We start from the raw sequence: 23,411 nt of genomic DNA on the forward strand, positions 1-23,411 counted from the left end.
CTAGCTACTCGGGAGGCTGAGGCAGGAGAATTGCTTGAATCCGGGAGGCAGAGGTTGCAGTGAGCCGAGATTGCACCATTGCACTCCAGCCTGGGTGACAAGAGCAAAACTCTGTTTCAAAAAAAAAAAAAAAAAAAAAAGTATGTAATTCTAACATTTCCATCATTTTACTATTGGCATCTATTGATTGTCTCTTTTTATTCATTTTGAGATCATCTCAGTTCTTGCTATGATGTGTTTCCATTGAAACCTGGACACTTTGGTTATTATTTTGAGACTCTGGGTCTTATTTAAACTTTCTGTTTTACTTGGCTTTGTCTGACACTTCTCTGTCGGGGAAAGGTGGTTGGGGGAACCACCTCCTTACTATTTCATTCAGGTAAAAGTCTAGGTTCTCTACTTGGCCAATATTGACACATGAGGGTGGGGCTTGTTACTGTTGGGCAGAGTTTGGAGGTCTGGCTTCCTATGAGGCCTCCATTGATACCTCCCTATCTAAGAGTGAAAGAAATGCCTTGTTACTATTCCCCATGTGGCCTCCATTGATACTGTGATGATAATGGTGGAATTGCCTCATTATGTTGGGTGCTGGCAAAAGTCCTGGCTCTCTACTAGGACTTCATTGACATAACCCCGAGGGGATGGGGAGTGGTGATTTGTTTCTGCTGAATAGAAATAAAAATCCAGGCTCCCCATGTGGTCTCAATTGACACCATGGAGGTGGAGGGTTTTGTTGTTACATGGCAGAGATGAAAGTCCTGGCTCCTGGCTTGGCCTTATCTGATACCACTCAGGCTGGCAAGTTGAGACCCCATTATAGCCTAACAAGTGTGAGGGTCTATGTTCCTCAGTTGTTCTTCACTGGACTGGGTAGATATGGGACCACACTCTTTCTGTGATGTTTGGCTGGAGTATGGAAATTGCTTTGTGAAAGTTTTTTGTCTTCCTGGTTCTTTGACTAGAGATAGCAGGCCTTCTATGGGGCTTTTTGTCACATTACCAATTTATTCAATACTTAGTCTGAGATATGCGATACAAAACAAAAACACAGAAAACTTATTGCTGTGTCATTCTTTAGATCTCAAGGTCCTGAATTAGTATACATTCTCCTATCATTTCTTATGGTTGTTTTATATATAGTATAAAAACAACCATATACATAATAAAAATACACATAATAAAATATTTAAAAAATCTTATGTTTGTTTTATATATAGTATCTAGAGTTTTTAGTTGTACTTAATAGAAGGAATAGAAACAAGCATGTATACTCTATTCTCCCTGAAACAGAAGTCTGTGCACTTGTTTCAAAAACACCAAAGCATTTGATAAGTGTATGAGAAATGATGGTCAATTACAGTATAGGCTCATTTTGGAAATACGAAGGTTCCCAGGGAGCTGTCCAGGGTGCTGGACTCTCCTTAAAGCTCTCAGACTCAGTGCATGAGAATTTTCCATTTCTCTGTCTTCTAATTTCTTCTTCTGTTTAACCTTTTTAAATACCAGCCTCTAACTACTCTGCTCTACCCTTCCATACTCAATGTCTAACTGCTGCCTGGTGAATTTGTGGTTAGTTGGCCCTTAATAACTAGTGATGCATTGGCTATTTTTGACAGTAATTTTTATTTGCTATCCATTCTAGCTATTCGCTAGTCTGGCTGAATCCTTGGGAAATTCACAACACTGTCATAGTCTTCAATTGCTTGTGTCACTGCCACCTCTAGCCATTAAGTTGCTCTGTTTTGTAGAATGGTAGAAAAAGTCCTCCGGAAAAATGCAAGGCAGCAGAGAGGCCCCTCCCTCAAGATCCTAATAGTGTCAGAGGGAAACTAGAATTAGCTATGTAACTAGGGGAAATTTTCTCACATCATTTATCTATACTACATTTACTATTCTTTGTTTTTACAATATCTATTGTAACAGAAAATAAATAATTGACCAGTCTGTGTTTTGTTTTCTTTTTCTTTCAGTATTTGCAGAGAAATAACTGTAAAACATTTTACTTCATTCTATTAGAAATATTGAAAGGGGATGATGCAGCCATGGCAGAAAAAGGCATTATTCCCCTTTAAGAGAAATTTCTCTCAGACATAGAAAAAATACAGCAGTCTCCTATTATGAGTTGACCTTGGAGCCAAGAAGTAGTAGTTATTCCCTCCATCCATTCCATTACTAATACAGCAGGCAAAAGTCAGAAAGATTAGTTTCAAAATTTCTATAAACTCGAAGTAAAGTTTCAGCTGTCTTCCTTTATCTGACAGTGTTTTTACTGGTGGTACTTTTAAGACTTAAACCAACCATAGGCAACTATTTTCTCTTCTTGAGCTTTATGGGCATCTTTTATAGAAACTTTACCTAGCTGTCAGTCTATTAACTCCCAAGTATTTAGTTTGATTCATCGGATTGCGGATATTTCTAAAAGGTACCGCAAAAATACATGGGCCTGAGAATCCTCAAGGGGGTTGGATTCCAGTGAGCTAGTGAAGGATCTTCAAGGTGTTTATTGAGCACTTATTCCCTGGACTGTGCATGATGCTGTATAGGCATTATTAAGTTAAACCTGACAATTCTCTAAGTTATGGACTTAGTATGTAATTGATGGTCTCTGTCTTCAAAGTGGAAATACACTCTCCACTGTGTTTATGAAAATCACTAAATGACTGCCTGGCTGGGTGTATGCAGTCGGTTTCTCTCTGATTACCAGTGATAGATTATCATGATTAATCCTCACCATTTCCCATTCTCCTCTGCACCCTCCCCCAATTTTTATGATGAAAACCATCTTCATCTGTTTGTGCTGCTATAATAACATACCTGAGACTGGGGAATTTATAAACAAGGGAAATTTATTTCTCACAGTTCTGGAGGCTGAGAAGTCCAATATCAAAGTGCTGGCAGGTTCAGCATCTGGTGAGGACCCTGTTCCCTGCTTCCAAGATGGTGCCTTCTTGCTAATCCTCTGGAGGTGACAAATGCTCTGTCCTCACACGGTAAAAGGTGGAAAAGCAAAAAGGTCTAAGTTAGTTCCCTCCAGTCATTTTATAAAGCACTAGTGGGGTCCCAAAATGCCACTTTTTATTTTTTTTGGGATGGCGTCTTTCTCTGTTGCCCAGGCTGGAGTGCAATAGCGTGATCTTGGCTCACTGCAGCCACCGCCTCCTGGGTTCAAGTGATTCTCCTGCCTCAGCCTCCTGAGTAGCTGGAATTACAGGCACCCGCCACCATGCCTGACTAATTTTTGTATTTTTAGTAGAGACATGGTTTTGCCATATTGGCCAGGCTGATCTTGAACTCCTGACCTCAGGTGATCTGCCCTCCTGAGCCTCCCAAAGTGCTGGGATTACAGGCGTGAGCCACCACGTCTGGCCCAAAGGCCACTTTTTAATACCATCACAATGAGGATTAGATTTCAACAGTGGAAGGTGGAAAAGCAAAAAGGCCTAAGTTAGTTCTCTCCAGACCTTTTATAAGGCACTAGTTGGGTCCCAAAAGGCCACTTTTTAATACCACCACAATGAGTATTAAATTTTAACATAAATTTTGGAAGGGACATAAACATTCAATTCATAAATCAAAGGCAGATATTATGCTCCTTTGCTTGAACAAATAGCCAGTCTCTGGCAATGGACCATTTTCTAACTTGTATAAAGCTGGCTGGCCCACATAAGGATTCAATCTATAACTCATACTTAACTTCTTGATCTAACCAGCTAAACTATTCATTATAGTTAAAAAGGCAATACACAATAGAGGAACATACTCACTAGTTTCTAAGTTTTAATAATTTTTAATGCCTTGACTAGATCAAACTAGTAAGATACAGAGCCTGCATTCGATTCCAGGTTTGCTGAATTCCAATGTTGTACAGCTTTAAAAAGGGAATTATTGCATGCTTTAAAATGGTGTTTCTGTCTCACTGCATGTGGTGAGTGATGAATCACTGAATGGATGATTAACTGTTCTGAATGGTGCGGTTTATTACACATTGTACATTGTGTGCTATGCACCACTAACCTGCATAGGATCTATGTGTGTTCTTCTGAATATTGAAAAAATGAGGAAAATGGTACTTTCTATCTGCCCTTGAGGATGTTATGTGTGTTAATAAACTAGCATCTTTGAAGAAAAGATCCACATGCAACGACCTTTTCACTTGATAGCAAGAAGTCTGAATTAGTGAAAAGTCAGAATAAGTGATTACTTGGAATTTTAAAAAATCACCTTCAAGAACATTCAGTAGTGAAAACAAAGATTTACTAAGTGGATTGATGGGTCTTTTATTGAATATATAATAATTCTTAGGAAATTCCTATTTATATGAATTATAAGTGAGTAGGTGCTGCCCAAGTGCTTAAAAGCCGTTTGTTCTTTTAAGAATCTTTACCATTCCTTCTAAGACTTTGGAGCGTTTGGTGATGTCCTTAACAAGCCATTGTATATAGCAGAGGAGTAAAGTGGAATCACACATAAATGGTCACATATTTCAAATATGAAGATGTAAACAGTTTAGGGTCTACTCTGAGCACCTACTTAGTGTAGTAGAGCTGAGCAGTTGAAGTCATTTGTTCTGAAATCACATAGGTCTAATCCTGAAATCCCCTCTTAACCATGTGACTTTGGACAGGTTACCTAGTATCTCTAACATCACCTGTGCTCATTTCTAAAATGGAGAGAATACTGATTAGACATATCTTATACGATTTGGGGGCTACTAAATAAGATAATGCATGAAAAGTACTATGAATCATATTTACAACATAATAAAGATCAGCTGCTTCTATTATTAATATTAACACTATTAAGGAGTAATTTTACAAATGATGCTCTCTCCCTGTGAGAGGTTATGGGTAACAACTGAGTCTATATTTGTTGGCATCATAAGAAGACAACTCCATATATAGTATTCTGCCCCCGGATTTCTGCTTCTTGTTTGAGGTGGGAGCAAAGAAATGACAGGTTCAATCCAAAATATCTTTGAGTTGTTCAGCTAACCGTGGGATTGGGTGAAGGATTTAGGAAGGCTATGTTTTGGATCTGAAATAAGGGGATTTCAAGACTCCTGTATTTACTACAGAATATTCCAAACTTTTGCAGCTACCTTGAAACTATGAATCAGCCAATAGGAAGAAGGGGCCCCAGGTAACTGCTGTAGAAACACTGCCGGCTTTCGCCCTGACTTCTTTTCTGCTCACTGCAGTAGCAACTTAGCTTCAAAATGTCCTCTTTAGTCATGCATTCTGATCAAAGTAGTTATTTAAAGATTGTGGCTAATAGTAGAGTAGATACCCCTGGTATTTCCCAGAGCAGAGCTCGCATTCTGGGAATCTTAGGTCCATGTGACTTCCTGAGTCAGTGATTCACACTGAGAAAAGAGATAGGTTTGGCATGACACAATCTGCAGATTCAAATAAATCCCCTGGGAGAGGATGAGGCTGCTGAGAGTCCTCTTTGCTGGCTGAAGCTCCCAGTGTATGCACAAAACACCCTGTCCCGGGCCCCAGATGTGTGCAGGTTTCTAATTGCCGGTGCTGCACTAAGATTTGAAGGGTGAGAGAGTTGCAAAATCACGAACACCGAGGGCGGTGTTAGGAAGGCAGCTTCCTGCACACTGTTGTAGGTGTTAGTGAGATTATCAATTGCTCCGGGAGAGACACAGGACTGGAGGGCTTGAGGAATGTGGTGGTCCCTCTCTTCGTTGTTTCTGCCCCCTGAGGTTGTGCTTTCTCAGGGATATGCACTCTGCACTTCCATTCCTGCAGTGAAATTAACTCGAGCTTGGCAGGTAAGTCTTTCGGCTCACCTTTAAAAAGAAAAGATATGTGAGCTGCGGTGGGGGTGGGCTGTTCCCCATTTGCCTTACATTGGATGTATTTTATTGGTGCAAAGTGGTATTTGGAAGCTTAAATGTGGGGCAGAGGTTTGAAGTAGCCAAATGAACTCTGTGGCCCTGAGAGAAGAGAAAGGATAACCAAAAGAAAGGGAAGGGGACTCAGGCATTTTTCTCCTAATAAATCTCTAATTTTTCTTGGAAATTTTGCCTCCAGGCCGATGCCTGGCCCCAGAACAGGGTCTTTGGCATGAGTTATAGCTGTGATGTTCCCTATTTTCCTTTTTTTTTTTTTTTTTAAGTTGTCGCTGCATGGGAGCAGGCAGACAGAAACAGGGTTGCATGTTGTCAATACAGGCTGCAGAAGTCAATAAGCAGCCAGACAGGGAATGAAATTGGAGGAGGCAGCTATAGATTTCTTAGGTTATTTCTTGTGAGTTTTTCAGAACTTGTGTGATTCAGGCTTGTCAGATACTATTTTGAGCTGGGCTGAGACAAACACATTCCCCTAGTGCACCAGATATTGCCTGCAGCCTCCCAATTTCTGGAGGCACCTGGGTCGGCTTTCTTGGGGGCAAGGGAATGTCCAAGGAAAGGTCAGGAATGAGGGAATTGGAAACTATGATGGGAAAAACAACTGTTTTACTGCTCTAGAATCTAACAGAAATCATAATGTCACCCTGGAGATAATTATTATGCTGTTAGTGATCGGCTTGAGACCAGGGACTGTGCCTCATTCAATTCACTGCTTGGATCAGAGTGAATACTCAATAAATGTACAATGATTAAATGTTAGTATCAAAATACATACTTTTGGGATAAGCTCGGATTGATATTCTGGGTTCTGCTTAGAATGATAAGATGGAGTAATAAGGGAGAGTAATGTTGATTGGTAGATAATTATGAAGAAATGAGTTCTGTTAAATAGTAGATTAATATCTGCAAGTGGAATTATTAGACAAGGACACACAAACACAGGGTCTCTCTGCCTGCCTATCGTCTGTCTACTTTCATCTCTGTCTTGTGTTTCACTTGATTCCAGAAGAATTTCAGGCAGCTTATGGGACAAGTTTAATGAAAATTAACATCATTAGGGATAAAAATGACAAAATATATAGGCTTCATCCAGCAATTGATCTTCTGTGGTTCTACAGTGACATGGACTACAGATAACTGAAATGTAAGGGTTACTGTAACTTCATTTAAGCATTTATTTTAACCTCTTCTTCCACTAATCTCATGCTTGATGCTACAAACCTAGAGTAAAGTAGATGAATGTTCTGGCCCTGCTGTGGGTCCCAGTGAGGTAAAACTAGCAAAGGGCAGATAACAGTCATGCAGGGGATTGAGTCATACATGGAGGGTTGAATGTTTTGCCCTTTGGAGGTGATAAAGCAGATAATTGGGTGGCTCTTCTCCATTCCATAGGCTGGGCTGCTCTGTCATAGCTTCACAGTGCTTTGCTTACTTTTTCTTTCCCCTATTTGAAACTGAATCAGGAAGATCATATTTCCCTTCCGATCCTGCTTAATAAAATATTCTATTATTTTCTCAGCTGCAAAAGTACACTATTATCACTGATCATTCCCTCCTCATCTCAGAGTGTTTGTCACTGGCCACAGTTTATATACAAGCTATACAGGCTGCCTGGAACTTGAATTGGCTTTAGAGTGGATGCTGGGGAAGGGGCGGGGGGGTTCCGGGTATCTGATGAATTCCTGCAACTGCAGGGCTGGGAGCCTGGCGGGGAGCCAAGGGGATTGTGGACAGATGCTATGCTTGCTGGGTCGACCTGGCTCAGCTAATATTCCCAGACTTGGAGCTGGGGGACACATTCATTTCATTCAACCCATACAAAAATATGGACTTAATATCAACTATGTGTACGGCATGGAATTCTTGGCATACTCAGGGTGTCAAACCCAGGAGTCCCTGTTCCCCAAGTAGCTGACTCTGCTACCCACATAGCAGGTGCTGTTACATTGTCTAGTTTATTTCTCTTGGATGGGAAAATAATTTTATCCTATTCACAAATGAGGAAACCGAGACTCACATATTATGCACCATGCCTAACATTGCAGGTAGTGAATGGATGAATCATGAGGGAAACTGTTTACTTCAACTGTACTGCACATCTGTAAGAAAAGACATTCAGGAAAGACTTTTACAAGACAGTGCATGCTAAGGGCTAGGAAGTTTGGTGAGAGATGGCTCCCATGGAGAAGTAGAAATTAAGATGGGCTTTGAAGCATGAGCAGATGACAAAAAAGCCCAATCCAAACTGGCTTAAACAGCAAGGGGGTGGTTATTGGCTCATGTGATTGAGAAGATCAATGTGACCAAGGTCTGGATATTTCTGTCTTGTGTCTCCTACCGAGTTGGCTTTATCCTCAATTCAGCTACCTAAAGTCCTCTGGACCCTACCCCCCCGGAAGCTGAAGGATGACTGCGGGAGTTTCAGTCCCCTACATAGTTCCTGGGGCCACTTTCTCTCATTAGCCACAACTGTGGCTGGGGGTAGACAGGAGACAGTTTATTCTGTACCCTCTACTAAACAGCATAGGTAAGACTAATAGAGAATAAATTTTGCAAAAGGAAAATCTGGGTAGAAGAAGGGGAACGAATGGTTGGTAGCCCACTAATGTCCCATAGCAGAGGATTTAGAGAGGCAAGGGGAGCAGAAATCCTCACAGCACAAGCACTGGTAGCAGTGGAGGGTGGGTAGGCCTGAGTTAGAAGTTAAGATGCCAGTCTTCTGATGTTCCTGGGAATAGATGTTTTGGCCAGCTATGTCTTATTACCAGTGCCCACTGATCCCAAAACTACCTTGCTGCATGCTGATAGCGTCCTCCTAGACCTCAGAGGTTGGAGGTGGGGGTGAGAGGGTCTTAGTTTACTAAGGTAGAAATCAGTGAACTGGTAGGGTCAGATCATGTCAGTGGAAATGATCCCAAGATTCCCTGACTGGTCTGAGGCTGCATATACCCTGCACTCTAATAGCCCATTGATGTCAGCTCTTGGCTACCTGCTCCAGTGAAACTCGGGTCCTAAAAGTCAACAGGTGCTCAGTGATAAAGCAGGGTACAAGGAGACAAAGAGAGGGTCTTAGGGACTGGGATCCTTTTGAATGGTCCTAAGAAGATATGACATTTGTTGTTTCACTAACTCCTACCAACTCATGCCTAGGTTTGCTCAAAGGGCTTTTGTTTCTGGAGGCATATCCTGAGGTCCTGAGTGGGAAGCTTAGAGCTTGGCCCATTAAAACAGAGAGCTCATTTTTCTTTCTTTTCCAGAAAAGCAAAGAAGCATCATGGGTAATGAAAAAAAAATACTGCACTAGGAGGAACCAGGAGACATGAGTTTGGCCTGGGATCTACATGTACTGATTCCTGTTTGACTTTGTATAAGCTTCTTTAATTTCTGCTACTAAGCCCCCTATCAAGGTGTTTTTGTTGTTGTTGTTTTTTCTCTTATTTCCTCAGATAGAATTATTTTATAGTCAAGCTTTGTTATTCTAGCAAAGAAACCTGGGGTTATGCTTTGGAAGGCCATTTTTTTCCTGTGTTTGAACCAAATTGAATTTAGCAGGTGCAAAGGGCTGCAGAAGAGACTTGGCAATTGATAGAATTATAGCCAGGATTCAGAGGGCCCTCAGGAGTCCTAGGCATTGACTCTTTGAGCCCTGTGCTGAAATCACCTCTCAAGCTTTCCTCTATCCAGGCTCTTCTCTTGTGTGTGTAACACCATGCCATGCCCAGCCACACTTGGGAATAATCTCAGATTCCGTATCTTTACCTCTCTTTTTAATTTTGCTGCTCAGCCTCTCTGTGCTGCCTTCACACATCCCATTAGTCAACGAAGTCGTATTGATTTTATATCCAAATTCCTCTTAAACCCACACCATCTTGTTCATCCCCATGTTCCAGTGCTGCTCCTCCCTCACTGGACTCTTATAATTGCTGCTTTACTGTGCATGGGATATGAGAGGTCCTCCATAAATAGCATTTGAACAAATGCAGAATGAGATAATAACACAAGTGAAATGACGTGAAACAGGCCTGAGTTCTCAATCTTCTACTTATATGGGATAGACATGGGTTGGTATTTCTAGAAATAATTATAGGAAAGAACTAGGTTCTTTTGTAGTCAACTCACCACGTGTCTGAAGTTACCTTATTTCCATCTCATGAAGATGTTTAACAAGTTCATGTGAAACAAACTGTTTCTACTGGGAAGACCATGTCCAAGTCTTCCCACATTCTGATGGAGGTGCCACACCCTCCCCTGCTTCTCTAGGGTCTCATTTTACCATCCTCATTTTGCCAGCCTCTGGGAAACCTGATCTAAGCCTATGCAATGCTAAAAGTGCCTGCTTAACAGCTTGGAAGGGAGGAGAGGCAATTTATTTGCTCAACTGAATTACCTGTTTACACTTCTGATCTCCAAAGCATATGTCAGAACAAGAAGAGAATAGAAGAAATTGTTAACATTGCATGGAACTAGGGAGTCCACATATAAGAGAAATTTATCACATGAAAATGCTTGCTTTCTTTGGTGGTGAATCTCTTTCACCATCAGAATTGCCTCCCTCCTGTCATTTACCTTGCAACAAATTTTCCTTTACAATATCTTTACTCAGGGTGCCTTTCCTCTGAAAACAGAAACACCTAGTTGACATCTCACCACTTTGCTGCTTTGGTTGCAGCCTAGTGATGGAATGACAAGCCCACTCCATAGGTGCCTCTGAATAGCTTATTTCAGGGAGCTGCAAGACAACTATTTGCTCAGAAAATTCTCACGAGGGTGATGGTTTTCAAAGCAGGAAGGAGAGGGAATTCCTGGTACACTTCCCCTCTGCATTGCTGGAGAAATGAAGAAACACTTGAAGGCAAAGTCATAAGTCAGGTTGAAGATGGTTTCTGGTGGAGTGGTTTGGAGATTTCATCTCAAGTTGAGAGCTGTCCTGGAATAGCTTCTACCTGACTTGTTTATTTCTCAGCTATTAATAGAAACTAACAGAGTGAGGATGGTCCAGGAATCTCTCCCATAATGTCCTACTTCAGGACTTGAAATTCTGTTAGAAATTCAATTTTAATATCATGGGATAAAACATAAATGCATGAATCTCTTTGCAGAACCCCTGCCAAGGGACAGCCTTCAATAAATACTTACGAAGCTGGACACTAGGCTGGTTGCTACAAATACAAAGAAAAGCAAGTCATATCATTTCCTACCAAGGAGCTCACAACCTGGATGATGATGCCAATTCTAAGACTAACAAGAACAGGTACTAGCGTAGATGGTGGTTTCTATATGCTAGGTACCATTCTATGTGCTTTATGTGCTGAAGTCATTGCATTATCACAACAAGCCTATAAGACTCTTAACCCTGTTTTACAGGTGAGGAAACTGGGACACTGTCTTGTTAAGTGTCTTGCCTGAAGTCACAGGATTAACATGTACAAGGCACTATGAGAGCAGAGAGAAAAGAGGCGTGGTCAGGGAGTAAGGGAGATACATGTACAGACCACTGATGTGGACTCATCATCTCCATAACTGCCCCTTTGCCCTTCCTTTGCATTCAAAATTATTATCTCTCTCTCGTTCAATTTAGCTATTTCTATGAAGGGGTGAAAATCCCTAACCTCTTGATATGAATTTAGCATTCAAAGGCACCTGAGATGAGGAAGGCAGAAAGTGTTCAGTATAATTTGGGTCTGCTTCCTGATTTTTCTCAGGTTTGGTCAAGAGGCTGAAAAGCAAATAGAATGCAATGGCAGGCACACACACATAAGGAGCTTATTGAAAAGATAGATCTCAATTTCTAGTATTTCCACCAGGCATTATGACCCTGACACCTTTTTCAGTTATGGTACTCTATCAGGGTTACTTTGATTATAAGTGACAGGAAAACCCAACCCAAACTGCCTTAAGCCAAAGGAAATTTTAGAGGGTCCCATAAGGAGAAAGTCTAGGGGTTGCTCTGGGTCTAGGAATACCTTGATACAAGATCTCATGTAATATTGCCGGGTTTTCTGTTCTCTTCTTTGAACTTAGTTCTCCTCCTCTTGCCTCATGATCACAAAATTGATGCAGCAGCTCCAACCCTTACTTTACTTAGCTTCTGTCTAGGGGGAGATATAACAGTTACTTTTCTGAATTATCAGAAAGAGTCCTGGGCTTTTCTATCGTTGGCCCTATTAAGTTACCTGCCTGTTTCTAGATCAGTAACTGTGCCCATGGAAATAAACTACACTGATTAGCTTAGGCCAATGGGTATAAGAATAAATGAAAGTGGAGAACCAGTAAGTCTCTGAGGAAATTCAGTTTACGCTGGAGAATGGTAGTGACATCTTCAATGGAAGCTTCTTGAGTGACCTATGTTATAGCTCTGTTAGATGGCGTGGTCCCTCCAGGGCTAACAGCATCTATAATACCTATGTTTCCTTATTCTCCTCCTTACCTATCAGTATGTCTGCTCTATGCTCAGGAGTATTCCACAGTGGCTCAGTGGCATGAATAATAGGAAATAATGTCTAAATGGACTATAAGACATAAGCTGGCTTTTTCAATGGCCCTTAAGTTTCTTAACTCCTGAGCCAGGGTTCTTCTTCAGACCAGAGGGACCTGGAACATCTTTGGTCCTACAGATGGTGTTGGTTGGGTATCAGCATATGGGGAGATACGTGGGTGGGAGGAGCTGATGTCAGAAGGCCTGAGTTGGAACATTGGATTACAATCAAAGGAAAAATCTTGAGCCTTCAATTGATGAAAAAACCTCCTTAGTTGAAAAATGCAAAACTCTGGCAGACTCCTTCTGAGGATGATGAAGAAAAGACAAAACTCTCTGAAATAATTAAAACTCCGCAGGAGGGATATTATTATATATGGGGTTACTAGAAGGGGAGTCAGGATTAGGGTTGGGATTAGGGGAGTTATTAGACAGGGAGTCAGGGCCTCCTGCCATGGGAACTTCTTGTCAGTGATTTCTTCCCTTGGCCCTGAGATAGGCAGCTTGGTGGAGAAGGCTTATACTTCTTAGCTGGGTGACCTTGGATAATTCACTTAATCTCGCTGGGTCTAGATTTCATAATCTGTAAATGAGGATAATAGGAAGACCAAGTTCATGAAGAAATTATGAAAATTAAATGAAAATGTTAGGTAGTTATGTTCAAACTCATGCAAGCTTGGCCAATAGCCAACCATTTGGTCAACATTAGTTTCAGTTATTTTCTCCCTGTCTGTAAACTCTAGAGTTTACAAACTCAACAATTTGGAGGTTTTTCTTCCCACGCAGCACATGACTTCACAACACTAAGCATGTCGATAGTGAATTAACTTGTCATTATTGTATGGGTTTTATTATTATGTTTGCTTTTGAATTAGTATTTTGAGCAGTTGCATCAAATCACAGAACAGTGGAGGGGTTCTGATTAAGCTGAGCCTTTCCCTGCTGCAGCACAGGCCCTGGGTGAGGGCCATTTGTATTAGGATCCCTGCCTTGCCCCTGACTAGCCAGATCACTTTGGTCTCTGACCTCAGTGTCCTGATTAGTCCACATGGGGATAATAATACCTTCCCACAAGGTTATTGTGAGAATTTGAGACAATTCCTAGAAAGCCTGGTTCTTTTATGAGCTGTGTATTCATTCATTGTCAGTGCCCACTCTGTGGGATTTTGCAATTTAAAACATCACTTCCATGCATGGCTGTCTCTGGAAGGGTATAGGCCCAGAGGACCTCATCTGGTGATGGGGAAGCCCCCTAAATTGCTCATACGTATACATGTAAAATCAAAATCCACCAGTGCAGTTCTCCCTGCACCTCCCCCTATCCAAGCATGGGGCCAGGGTGGCTGCCAGATTGTTTTTTCCAAGGGTTGACCCTGTTTTCATGCTCCTGTGATTTACTTACAGAAGGGATTATCACATTGGATGAGAGGCTGAATTTCATAGACCTCAAATGTCCTTTTCCAACTCTGAGATTTTATGTGTCTATGTTTTCATTTCCAAATAGAAAATAACCCTTATCATTGCTAATGGTATTCCCTTAAGGAAGTTACTTAATCTTTCTATTTCTCAATTTCTTATTTGTAGAATAGAATGGATTATATTCCCTACATCCTAGGATGGGTGTGAGATTTAAACAAAGAATGCATGTAAGATGTTCAGCACAGTGTAGTAAGACGTTAATGGTGCTCACTGATAGACATTTCTTATTTGGGACATAATAGAGTGACATTTCCTGACTCACTTGCCATTGGAAGGGGCTATGTGACTAAGTCTGGCCAGTGAGCTGTGAGCCCAATAAGGTCTGTGACTTCTGGATCAGGGCACTGAAGTGTGCATGTGTGACTTCTGGCACAGCAACCATAACATTCAACATGGTGGCTGCTCAGTCAGCCTGGGTCCCGAGCATCCCAGCCAACATAATGGCAGGTACTGTGAGAGGGAAATAACTTGTGGTGTACTAAGGCACTTGAAATTTGGAGGTGTTTTTTTACTGTTCTGTAACTTCATCTACATTGATTGATACGCACATTGTTTTATCCAAGATAATAATAACTAATAGTACTTGGGCATTTGCTATGTGCCAGGTGAGTATTGGTTCACATTTTGCAATACCCTAGAACATACATATTATTATTAATCTCATATTTAGATGGGGAAACTAAGGTTAGAAATGTTAAGTAACTTACCCAAGGTCACCCAGCCAGTAAGGGGAAGGGTGGGGATTTAAACCCAGGTCACGTGACTTCAGAGCTTGAGCTCTTAACCGCTGCTCACCCGACTCCATAGACCAAACCTGTGGTTTCATGGTATGATCAACTAACATTAATTCTGCTTTCCCTTTCTCTTGAACTGCATCCCCTGTAGTTTCATTTGGAAGTGATTTCCTTTGTTGGCCATTACTCTTCAGAGTGGTGGTGAGGTTGGGAAGCCAGCAGAGTGGCCTGCTGTGGGTATTGAATGCTGATGTTGTCATAGGAAGTCTCTCATTTGCTTTGCTTTGCTTGACTACTTTTTGGTTTTTAACCTGTTATTTAAGCCAAAGTATTTGATATGGGAACAGGAAGCCTCTTAAGGGTAAGGAAGGCATTTTGTCTTCTTACCTTTGCTTGAAGGCATCAAGATGATTGTCTTGGGTCAGAGTCAGAGCCTGAGATGGGGATTCTTCTTTAAGTGATTTGTTGAGGGAGTTCTTTTGGGGAAAAGCTACAAGGAAGTGAGGGAGGAAGAGCAGGGCCAGGGAAGCTAAGCAAAGATGTGGTATAGCTGAGGTCTAGCTCAGCCTGATCCACAGAGGAGCTGAGCATGACTTGTGACACAGAGTTTGCTCTGCATTGAGGCAACAGGGCTAAGTTTGTTTGTTTGTTTTTTTGGACAGAGTTTTACTCTTGTTGCCCAGGCTGGAGTGCAATGGCATAATCTTGGCTCACCACAACCTCCACCTACTGGGTTCAAGCGATTCTCCTGCCTCAGCTGCTGGAGTAGCTGGGATTACAGGCATGTGCCACCACGCCCGGCTAATTTTCTATTTTCAGTAGAGACGAGGTTTCTCCATGTTGGTCAGGCTGGTCTTGAACTCCCGACCTCAGGTGGTCCGGCCGAGGCCTCCCAAATTGCTGGGATTACAGGCATGAGCCACCGCACCTGGCCTGGGCTAAGCTTTTATACTCCTGCATCAGGTGGTTATTGGCCTTGGGTGTAACCTCCCAGATGTCTCCAGGTGAAGTGGCTCCCATTAGCTAAAGACAATTCTGCAGAGAAGGATGAGGTGCAGCGTAATTAGCAGCCAACACCTGCAGCAGTTGGGGGATGAGTGCACTTGCCAGGTAAAGGAGACCTGGAAGGGGCACCAAAAACATCCACTATAGTGTTTGAGGTCAGTGGCCCATCTGATACGGCTTAGCTCTGTGTCCCCACCCAAATTTCACCTTGAATTGTAATAATCCCCATGTGTCCATGAGAGGGACCCTGTGGGAGGTAACTGAATCATGGGGGCAGGTTTTTGCCATGCTGTTTTTGTGACAGTGAGTAAGTCTTATGAGATCTAGTCGTTTTATAAAAGAGAGTTCCCCTGCACATGCCCTCTTGCCTGTCAGCATGTAAGACATGCCTTTGCTCTTCCTTTGCCTTCTGCCATGATAGTGAGGCCTCCCCAGCCATGTGGAACTGTGAATCCATTAAACCTTTTTCCTTTATAAATTACCCAGTCTTGGGTACGTCTTTATTAGCAGCATGAGAACAGGCTAATACACCATCCTTTTTGGATTTGTGATTTTTTTTTTTCTGGGGGTGATATTGTCAAGTTGAGAGGAGGTAGCGAAGTGTGTAAGGTGTAAGTGTAGTGGTGGCATGTGGCCTTGTCAGGGCCTCAGCACATGCCTTTTATTGACACTGAAGTGTTGTGTGTAGGACTGTGTAAGGGCAGGGTGGTTGTTGTGCACACTGTCCTGATCTTTGGACCTAGAACTGATACATTGTGTCTAGTCACCAGGGGAGTTGTCCCTTTCTATCTTTTTAGACGGGCAAGTTGGCTGCCAAAAATGTTTAGGCAATTCTGGTGGTGTTTTCCTTTCTCATGAAATAGGCGGCTTCAACCTCATAGAATAAGAATCAGCCACTCTGCCTAACAATATTAATACTAACACCAATGCCCTTTATTAAGTGCCAGGGGATTTACTTGTATTACCAGATCTATTCCTCTCCATGACCCTGCAAGATGGGAATCATAGGATCCATTTGATGGTCCAGAATAATAAATATTAGGAAGAGTCAGCATTTTGTCCAAGGGCACACCATTAAAACAGTTTGCGTCAAAGTAGCAAAGAAAATAAATCACAGCATCAAAGAACAGGAGATTAAGAGAAACTGAGGAAAAACCACACGATCTCGGAGGGGTAGAGAATACTATATTTATAATGAAGAAGTCTGACTCTTTGGATTAATATAAAAATCTTGCCATGTAGCATGTGGGAGAGGAGAGCAAGGGAGGCTCACATGCTGGAGACAGGATTTGGTTCCAATGCTATCTGACTCTAAGGCTGATACATCTTTCTGTGCCATGGTGTTTTAATAAGCATGTAATTTAGAAATGTCCACCCACTTACTTCGGAACCATAGATTTCATTAAAGGAGAGTAAAAACCCAGGCTTTGGATACAGACAGACTTGAGAAACAGCTCTAAGATTTGGGCAAGGCTGGTCTTGAACTCCTGACCTCTCTATTCATCCTCTCTATGCCTCAGTTTCCTATTTGTTAAATGGGGATGATATTTAGCTTGCATGACTGTCATATGGATGAGATGACAGCATGTATACAAAATGCCTATCATGTAAAAAGCACTTAGTCTTTACCAGTTATTTTAATATATTCATGAAGAAGTTTCAGTTTTGTCGAGGAGAAAAGAGGCTGTGTCAGTTCTTTATTCTCTCATAACAAACTGTCACAACATTTGGCAGCTTAAACAATAACAATTTGTTATTTCCCATGAGTTGAGGGGTTGACTGGGTAAGCCGTCCAGTTAGTTATATTTCATGTAATGTTAGCTTAGTCATTTATGTGGTTGCATTCAGCTGTGAACTTAGCTGGGCCTGGGATGTACAGGAAGGCTCCTTCACAAGACCTTCACAACTCCTCTCCTTGCTCAATTGTCTAACCCAGATTCTTACATGGTGACTAGATTTCAAGTTCTCCAAAGTGGAAGCATCCCTGCTGCTATGGACTGAATGTTTGTGTCCCCTTGAAATTGCTATGTCGAAGCCCTTATCCCCAGGGTGATGGTGTTTGGAGGTAGGACATCTGGGGGTCATTAGAGTTTGATGAAGTCATGACATTGGAGCACTTATGATGAAATTAATGCTTATGAAACGAGGAAGAGATGAGATCTCTGCATGCATGCACCAAGGAAGGCCATGGGAGGACAAATCCAGAAACACAGCTCTCACCAAGAACCCAACTATGCCGGCACACTGATCTCAGACTTCCAACCTGTAGAAACATGAGATATAAATGTTCATGGTCTAATCTCCATCTGCTGTACTCTGTTATAGCAGCCTGAACTAAGACACTTGTCTTCTTAAGGTTTAGCCTGGAATTGGTGCACCGTCAATTCTATAAGTAAAGCAAGTCACATGGACAATGCGGATTCAAGGGGAGGGAAATTAAACTCAGAGTATTGTTGGCAGAATGGCATGCATGTACTTGAAGGGGAGGAGTGATTGGCAGCCATATTTGAAGACTATCTCTCTTGGATACATTCATCCTAGATCATTCATAAACAAGGTGATTTTATGAGAAGTTTAATTCTTACTGTTCTGCATTTGCAGTGCAGACATTTACCATGATGACTTATTCCCTGTAGAGTGGGTTAATGTTTTCAGACATGGCTTCAGAGGACCTGGGGCTTCAGTTGAGCCCTGAATAAAGGATAGGAAATTGCTATGGAAGGAAAAGAAAAGGGTCTGTTGTATGCTTTGTTTTTTTCACTCACATGAACCAGGACAAACTCAGTGTGCCTTGGGTAAGGAGGGTGGCGACACTGATTTTAACTGTCAAATTGATCTAGAGTTGTCAGATGGGATAATTTAACCCTCAAATGAAGGTGATTTATCCTATGTATTGTAATCAAATAGTCATCTAAGTCACTCCCCATGAGCTCTGGTAAATCACTTTTAGTACATATTGAAAGTGACCGTATTGTATTTTATTGCAGAATTGCGTCTTATAGTAATAACTAATGCATGCCATTGGCTTTTGCTCTAGCACCGAATTACACTCACTTGGAGGCACATGGATCCAGGTGGGCACTGTTGCTTCCATTTGCTTGTCCACAGTCAGAACTGAGAGGCAGGTAGGAAAACTGTACTGCTGCAGTCTTTGTAGATTAGCTCAATTCAGAGACACCTGTGGTCTTGTGAAATGCCAAACTTTACTCCAGTGGCATTTGGGTCAATGTGAACTAGGATGGGCCTAGCAATTCTATTAGGTGAATGACAAGTGCTTTGTAATGAAACAGAAGGACTTTATTTAAACAGATATAAGGACTGGACAGAAATCAGGCTTAAATTATACCTTATCTGGGCTCCTGCTGTAACCTTGTAACTGGTCTTACCACTTGTGGTCTCAAGACTATTTTGTCCTGCAGCCCCCAGAGCAATCTCCCTGAAATGCAAGGTCAACTATGCTGGCCCCCGGCTTAAAGCCATCATGGCTTCCCAATGCCTGTGGGATGTTGTCCACACTCTTAGCTTAGCTTACAAGGCTCTCCATAGTCTGGCTCCTGCCCACCTGTCCAGCTTCATCTTGCGCCACTGCCCATTTTGAACTTTCCATGCTACCTACATACCGTGATTCACTTCTCCACACTGTTGTTCATGTCCTTCTGTCTGCCTGAGATGTGCTCTCCCAGCTTCCTGACTCTGACCTCCTTTGCCTGGCCAACTCCTTCTGGTGCTGGAAGATGCACCACAAACATGCCCCCATGGGAGCATGCGCAGATGCTCTCAGGCTGTGCTCATAATTTCCTGAGTCTCTCCCCTCATCATTTCACTTCTCACATAGCATTATTATGACTTATTTAGGCCTGTAGCTCTACTACTAGATGGACTGTGAGCTCCTTGAAGGCAGGAACCCATCTTAATAATATGGGTATCCCAAGAAACCAGCACAATAACTGGTTGGCCCAGAGGAGATGCTCAATAAATGTTTGTGGTATTAGTAAATTTATGAAAATACCTCTTTGGGTTGTCACAGAAGCACATGAGCAGTGGAGACAAGATTCTCATCTTGAATCTGAGTCTCCTTTGATCTGAGGAGCTTCCTGTTTTGAGGTTACACATTTATTTTAGAGACAGAGTCTCACTCTTGTCCCCCAGGCTGGAGTGCAATGGCACGATCTGGTCTCACTGCAACCTGCACCTCCTGGGTTCAAGCGATTCTCCTCTCTTAGCCTCCTGAGTAGCTGGAATTACAGGTGCATGCCACCACGCCCAGCTAATTTTTGTATTTTTAGTAGAGACAGTGTTTTGCCACATTGGCCAGGCTGGTCTCAAACTCCTGACCTCAGATGATCCACCCATCTCAGCCTCCCAAAGTGCTGGGATTACAGGCATGAGCCCCCAAGCCTGGCCTGAGGTTGCATATTTAGGTTGGAATTAGTGTGCATGTTCTCCATGAAGGTGAAATTTGTATGGCTCTGGGACCTAAAAGCCTAGGCAAGGGCATAGAGATATATTAGCCTGGGGTGGACTGGGGAATGTTTTACTAGTTAGCATTACGTGAGAAATTAAGCAAGTCTTACACACATGGATTTGAGACCCAGAATCTGCTCCATTTCTGGGGCTTTTGTGTGTTAGAAATAAGTACAGCTGATTATTTCATTTATGTTGGTGGATTTGGGGCTGCCAAGCTTCTCTGAAGGGCCCACATTTTCCTTTGGTACTCTATTTCTCATTTTGCCCTTAGAAATAAGGAATCTTGGAGTAAATTCCAGAGGTGGTAGGAGAAGGGAGAATGCATTCCCACATTGGTAGCTAAGGTTCATAAGCTCCTAGAAAAGAAGGGAAAGATCTCTGAGCCTAGAACATGGGACTCCCCTTTCTTACTGTAATTTGCAGACAGATTGGGGCAAGAAACTCCATGCAGCTTGGAAACATGTCAGAGTGTGCCTTACAAGGAAACAAGGCAAATACAGGAGGAAAAAGGTAGGCTGCTGTTTGGTCTTTAGAAACAAGCATTTTCTTACATCCTTTTATTCCCGGTATATGTCCTATGAAAGTCATTCTGGTAGCAATGGTAATAGTACTATTAATAATAATGATGTACATATATTGGATGTGTTCAACATGCCAGGCACCATGCCAAGCTTTTTACCTGGCTTACTTCATTTCAATTTATAACTTTATGAGGCAGATACATTTTCATTTCTATGTTACAGATGAGGCACAGAGAGGCATAGAAACTTGCCCAAGCTTGGAGGAGCTGGGATTTCAACTTAATCTAACACAGCACTGTATGTTCTCAAGTTGTCACTATATTACCTCCCAAACAACATTTACACTAACAAGTGCAGCCAATGTTTATTGAGTGCTAACTCTGTGCTGGGCACATTGCCAACCTTTACATGAAGAGCCTCAGTTACCCCTCAGCACCATCTTTGGGGTGGGTTATTATTATCCTTATTTCAAAGATCAAACAACTGAGACTTAGAGATTCAGTAACATGTCCAAGGTCACACAGCTAGTTCATGGTGGGACCTGAGTTCATTCTTAGGCTGCTTGTCTCCTAAGCCTCTAGTCCAACTTTTTAATTTTTTTATTTTATTTTATTTTTTGATAGGGTCTCACTCTGTCACCCAGGCTGGAGTACAGTGGTGTGATCTTGGCTCACTACAACTCTGCCTCTCAGGCCCAAGCGATTCTCCTGCCTCAGCCTCCTGAGTAGCTGGGATTACAGGTGCTTGCCTCTACCACCTGGCTAATTTTTGTATTTTTAGTAGAGATGGGGTTTCACCATGTTGGCCAGGCTTCTCGGCCTCCCTGAGTTCTGGGATTACAGGCATGAGCCACCATGCCTGGCCATAGTCCAACTTTTAAATTTTGGTTTAGGAAGTGTTTTTTATCCCATCCATCCAGATCTCCCTCTCATAGTCAGTTTTCACCTCTTCCCTGGGGATACGGCTCAAGGAGAACTTTCATCATCTTCAAATGCAAAGACCACGTGGCAATTAGAGTGTGGGGGATTCCAAGCCCCTTCTGGTGATTGTGGACTTGAAAAACAGTAGTGGTAATGAATAATTAAAGGTTAAACAAAGGGAATAGTTCTAGAGACTGGGTGAAGGGGAGCCTGTTTTATTCCACTGAGTTTGAAGCCAGAACACCATGTCTTGGCACTGACATGCCTTGGAGACTTCGTATTGATGATCATGGCTAACTGACTCTTTCTCAGCTCTCAGTATCATTCATAGTCAGGACTTTACATGTGTGTGTGTAATGTATATATATCTGTGTGCACGTGTGTGCGCGCGCGCGCGCACGCACACACACACACACACACACACACGTAAAGTCCTGACTACCAGTGATAATAATACATAGTTTTTTGGGGGAAGAAGGGATGCCTCTTGTATGCACAGCACTCAACTTCTGCTTTTGGGCAGGGAAGATGGAAAAAAAAGGTAAAATGGGGTTATTTGTCCCAAGTTGACTTGACAGTCTAAGCAGGGGGATAAGGCAGATGAATATGTGAACAATGTTTTGGTAGATTAGCTTGGTTAGAGGATTTTCAAACTTTTTGAAATTATAAAACCTACAAATATATATTTTTTAAATCACAAAACAAAACCTTAATGAATCAGTAAAATTCTCATAATCTTTATACAGGAAAGGTAGTAGAGAAAAGTTTATATCAGTTTGCAACTACAGATTTATGCCCTTACATATGAGTGGTAGATATGTGAAATATGATTATTAGTAATAAAGTGAAGAGGATGTTATAGAGAGGGATGCAATAAAATTTATCTTTTTCATCATGTTCCTCATCTGGGTTACCATGAAACTAATGTGAACAGTTTCCAGCTCCAGGCAAAACATTTACACTCCTCACCTTTCAGTGCTATCATTTGTTGCATTTGGGAACAAATGTGCAGCTTCAGGGTGAGAATGGAAGAATATATAGGCAAAAGAAGAGCTATGAAATATATTAATAACGAATATTCTCACCTGAAAACTATGAATTTCAAGATCACACTTAAGGTCCACTTCAATTTAAAAAATGTCCTGAGGATCTGAATAATGACAATTGGAAAATTAAAAGAGCATTGATAGCTTAAGTGCCAATGAACTCAAGGCCAAGATCTCAGTTTTCATGCAAACTGGTGGCTCTGACTTCGTTCCACTGCTATAGCCTTGGCTGAGGATCTTACAAGTGGGTTTTTGAAATGGATTCGGGTGGAGGCTCAGGGAGTGCACCTGTTACCTCCATGGGGCAAAGGCTCAATGTAGGGAACTTATGAGAGTTGGAGAGCATGATGTGTGCTGTGTAGACAGCACAGCATGGGGACCCAGCACTGCCCTCATCGACATTTCTCTTAGAAAATGTGATTACAAGGCAGGCAGATCACAAGGTCAAGGGATCAAGACCATCCTGGCCAACATGGTGAAACCCTGTCTCTACTAAAAATACAAAAATTAGCTGGGTGTGGTGGCATGTGCCTGTAGTCCCAGCTACTCAGTAGGCTGAGGCAGGAGAATCTCTTGAACCCGGGAGGCGGAGCTTGCAGTGAGCCGAGATTGTGCCATTGCACTCTAGCCTGGTGACAGACTGAGACTCCATCTCAAAAAAAAAAAAAAGAAAAAAAAGAAAAGAAAACGTGATTACATTGTAGGAGCTGGAGGATTGTTACTAAATCATTCAAAACAGCAAAAGTTAAAAATAAAATAGCGACCAGTTAAAAATATTCCACTGGTCTAACAAGGAGGATATAAATAAATTATGATGCCTTATAGATATAATATTAGGAATATTTTTCAGCCATTAAAAACTACGTTTTAGGAGAGTATTTAATAATGGGGATATTATAGA

The 23,411-nt window shown here is 42.0% G+C and overlaps 1 protein-coding gene across 52 annotated transcripts in view, besides 2 other annotated features; it reads left to right on the forward strand.

Annotated features, from left to right (window-relative positions):
• NRXN3 (neurexin 3) overlaps window positions 1-23,411 on the forward strand; it is a 1,697,919-nt gene that overhangs the window by 227,724 nt on the left and 1,446,784 nt on the right. The window contains exon 1 of one of the 52 annotated variants that reach the window (NM_004796.6): window positions 5,623-5,782. The exons of the other annotated variants lie outside the window; for them this stretch is intronic. The gene's annotated coding sequence lies outside the window, so the exon portion shown is untranslated. Of the gene's footprint in view, window positions 1-5,622; window positions 5,783-23,411 lie in introns of those variants that run through there. 52 annotated transcript variants of the gene reach the window in all.
• Window positions 634-803: an enhancer, noted in NCBI's record as "experimental_36858 CRE fragment used in MPRA reporter constructs". NCBI's record gives its function as "activates a minimal promoter by MPRAs in K562 erythroleukemia cells, with activity observed for both the introgressed and non-introgressed 14:78865158 variant alleles {active_cell/tissue: K562}" and the evidence as "EXISTENCE:reporter gene assay evidence [ECO:0000049][PMID:34662402]".
• Window positions 5,235-5,284: an enhancer, noted in NCBI's record as "active region_8816". NCBI's record gives its function as "activates an Ori minimal core promoter by ATAC-STARR-seq in GM12878 lymphoblastoid cells {active_cell/tissue: GM12878}" and the evidence as "EXISTENCE:reporter gene assay evidence [ECO:0000049][PMID:35858748]".

This window comes from Homo sapiens, chromosome 14 (assembly GCF_000001405.40).
Source record: "Homo sapiens chromosome 14, GRCh38.p14 Primary Assembly".
Taxonomy (NCBI): domain Eukaryota; kingdom Metazoa; phylum Chordata; class Mammalia; order Primates; family Hominidae; genus Homo; species Homo sapiens.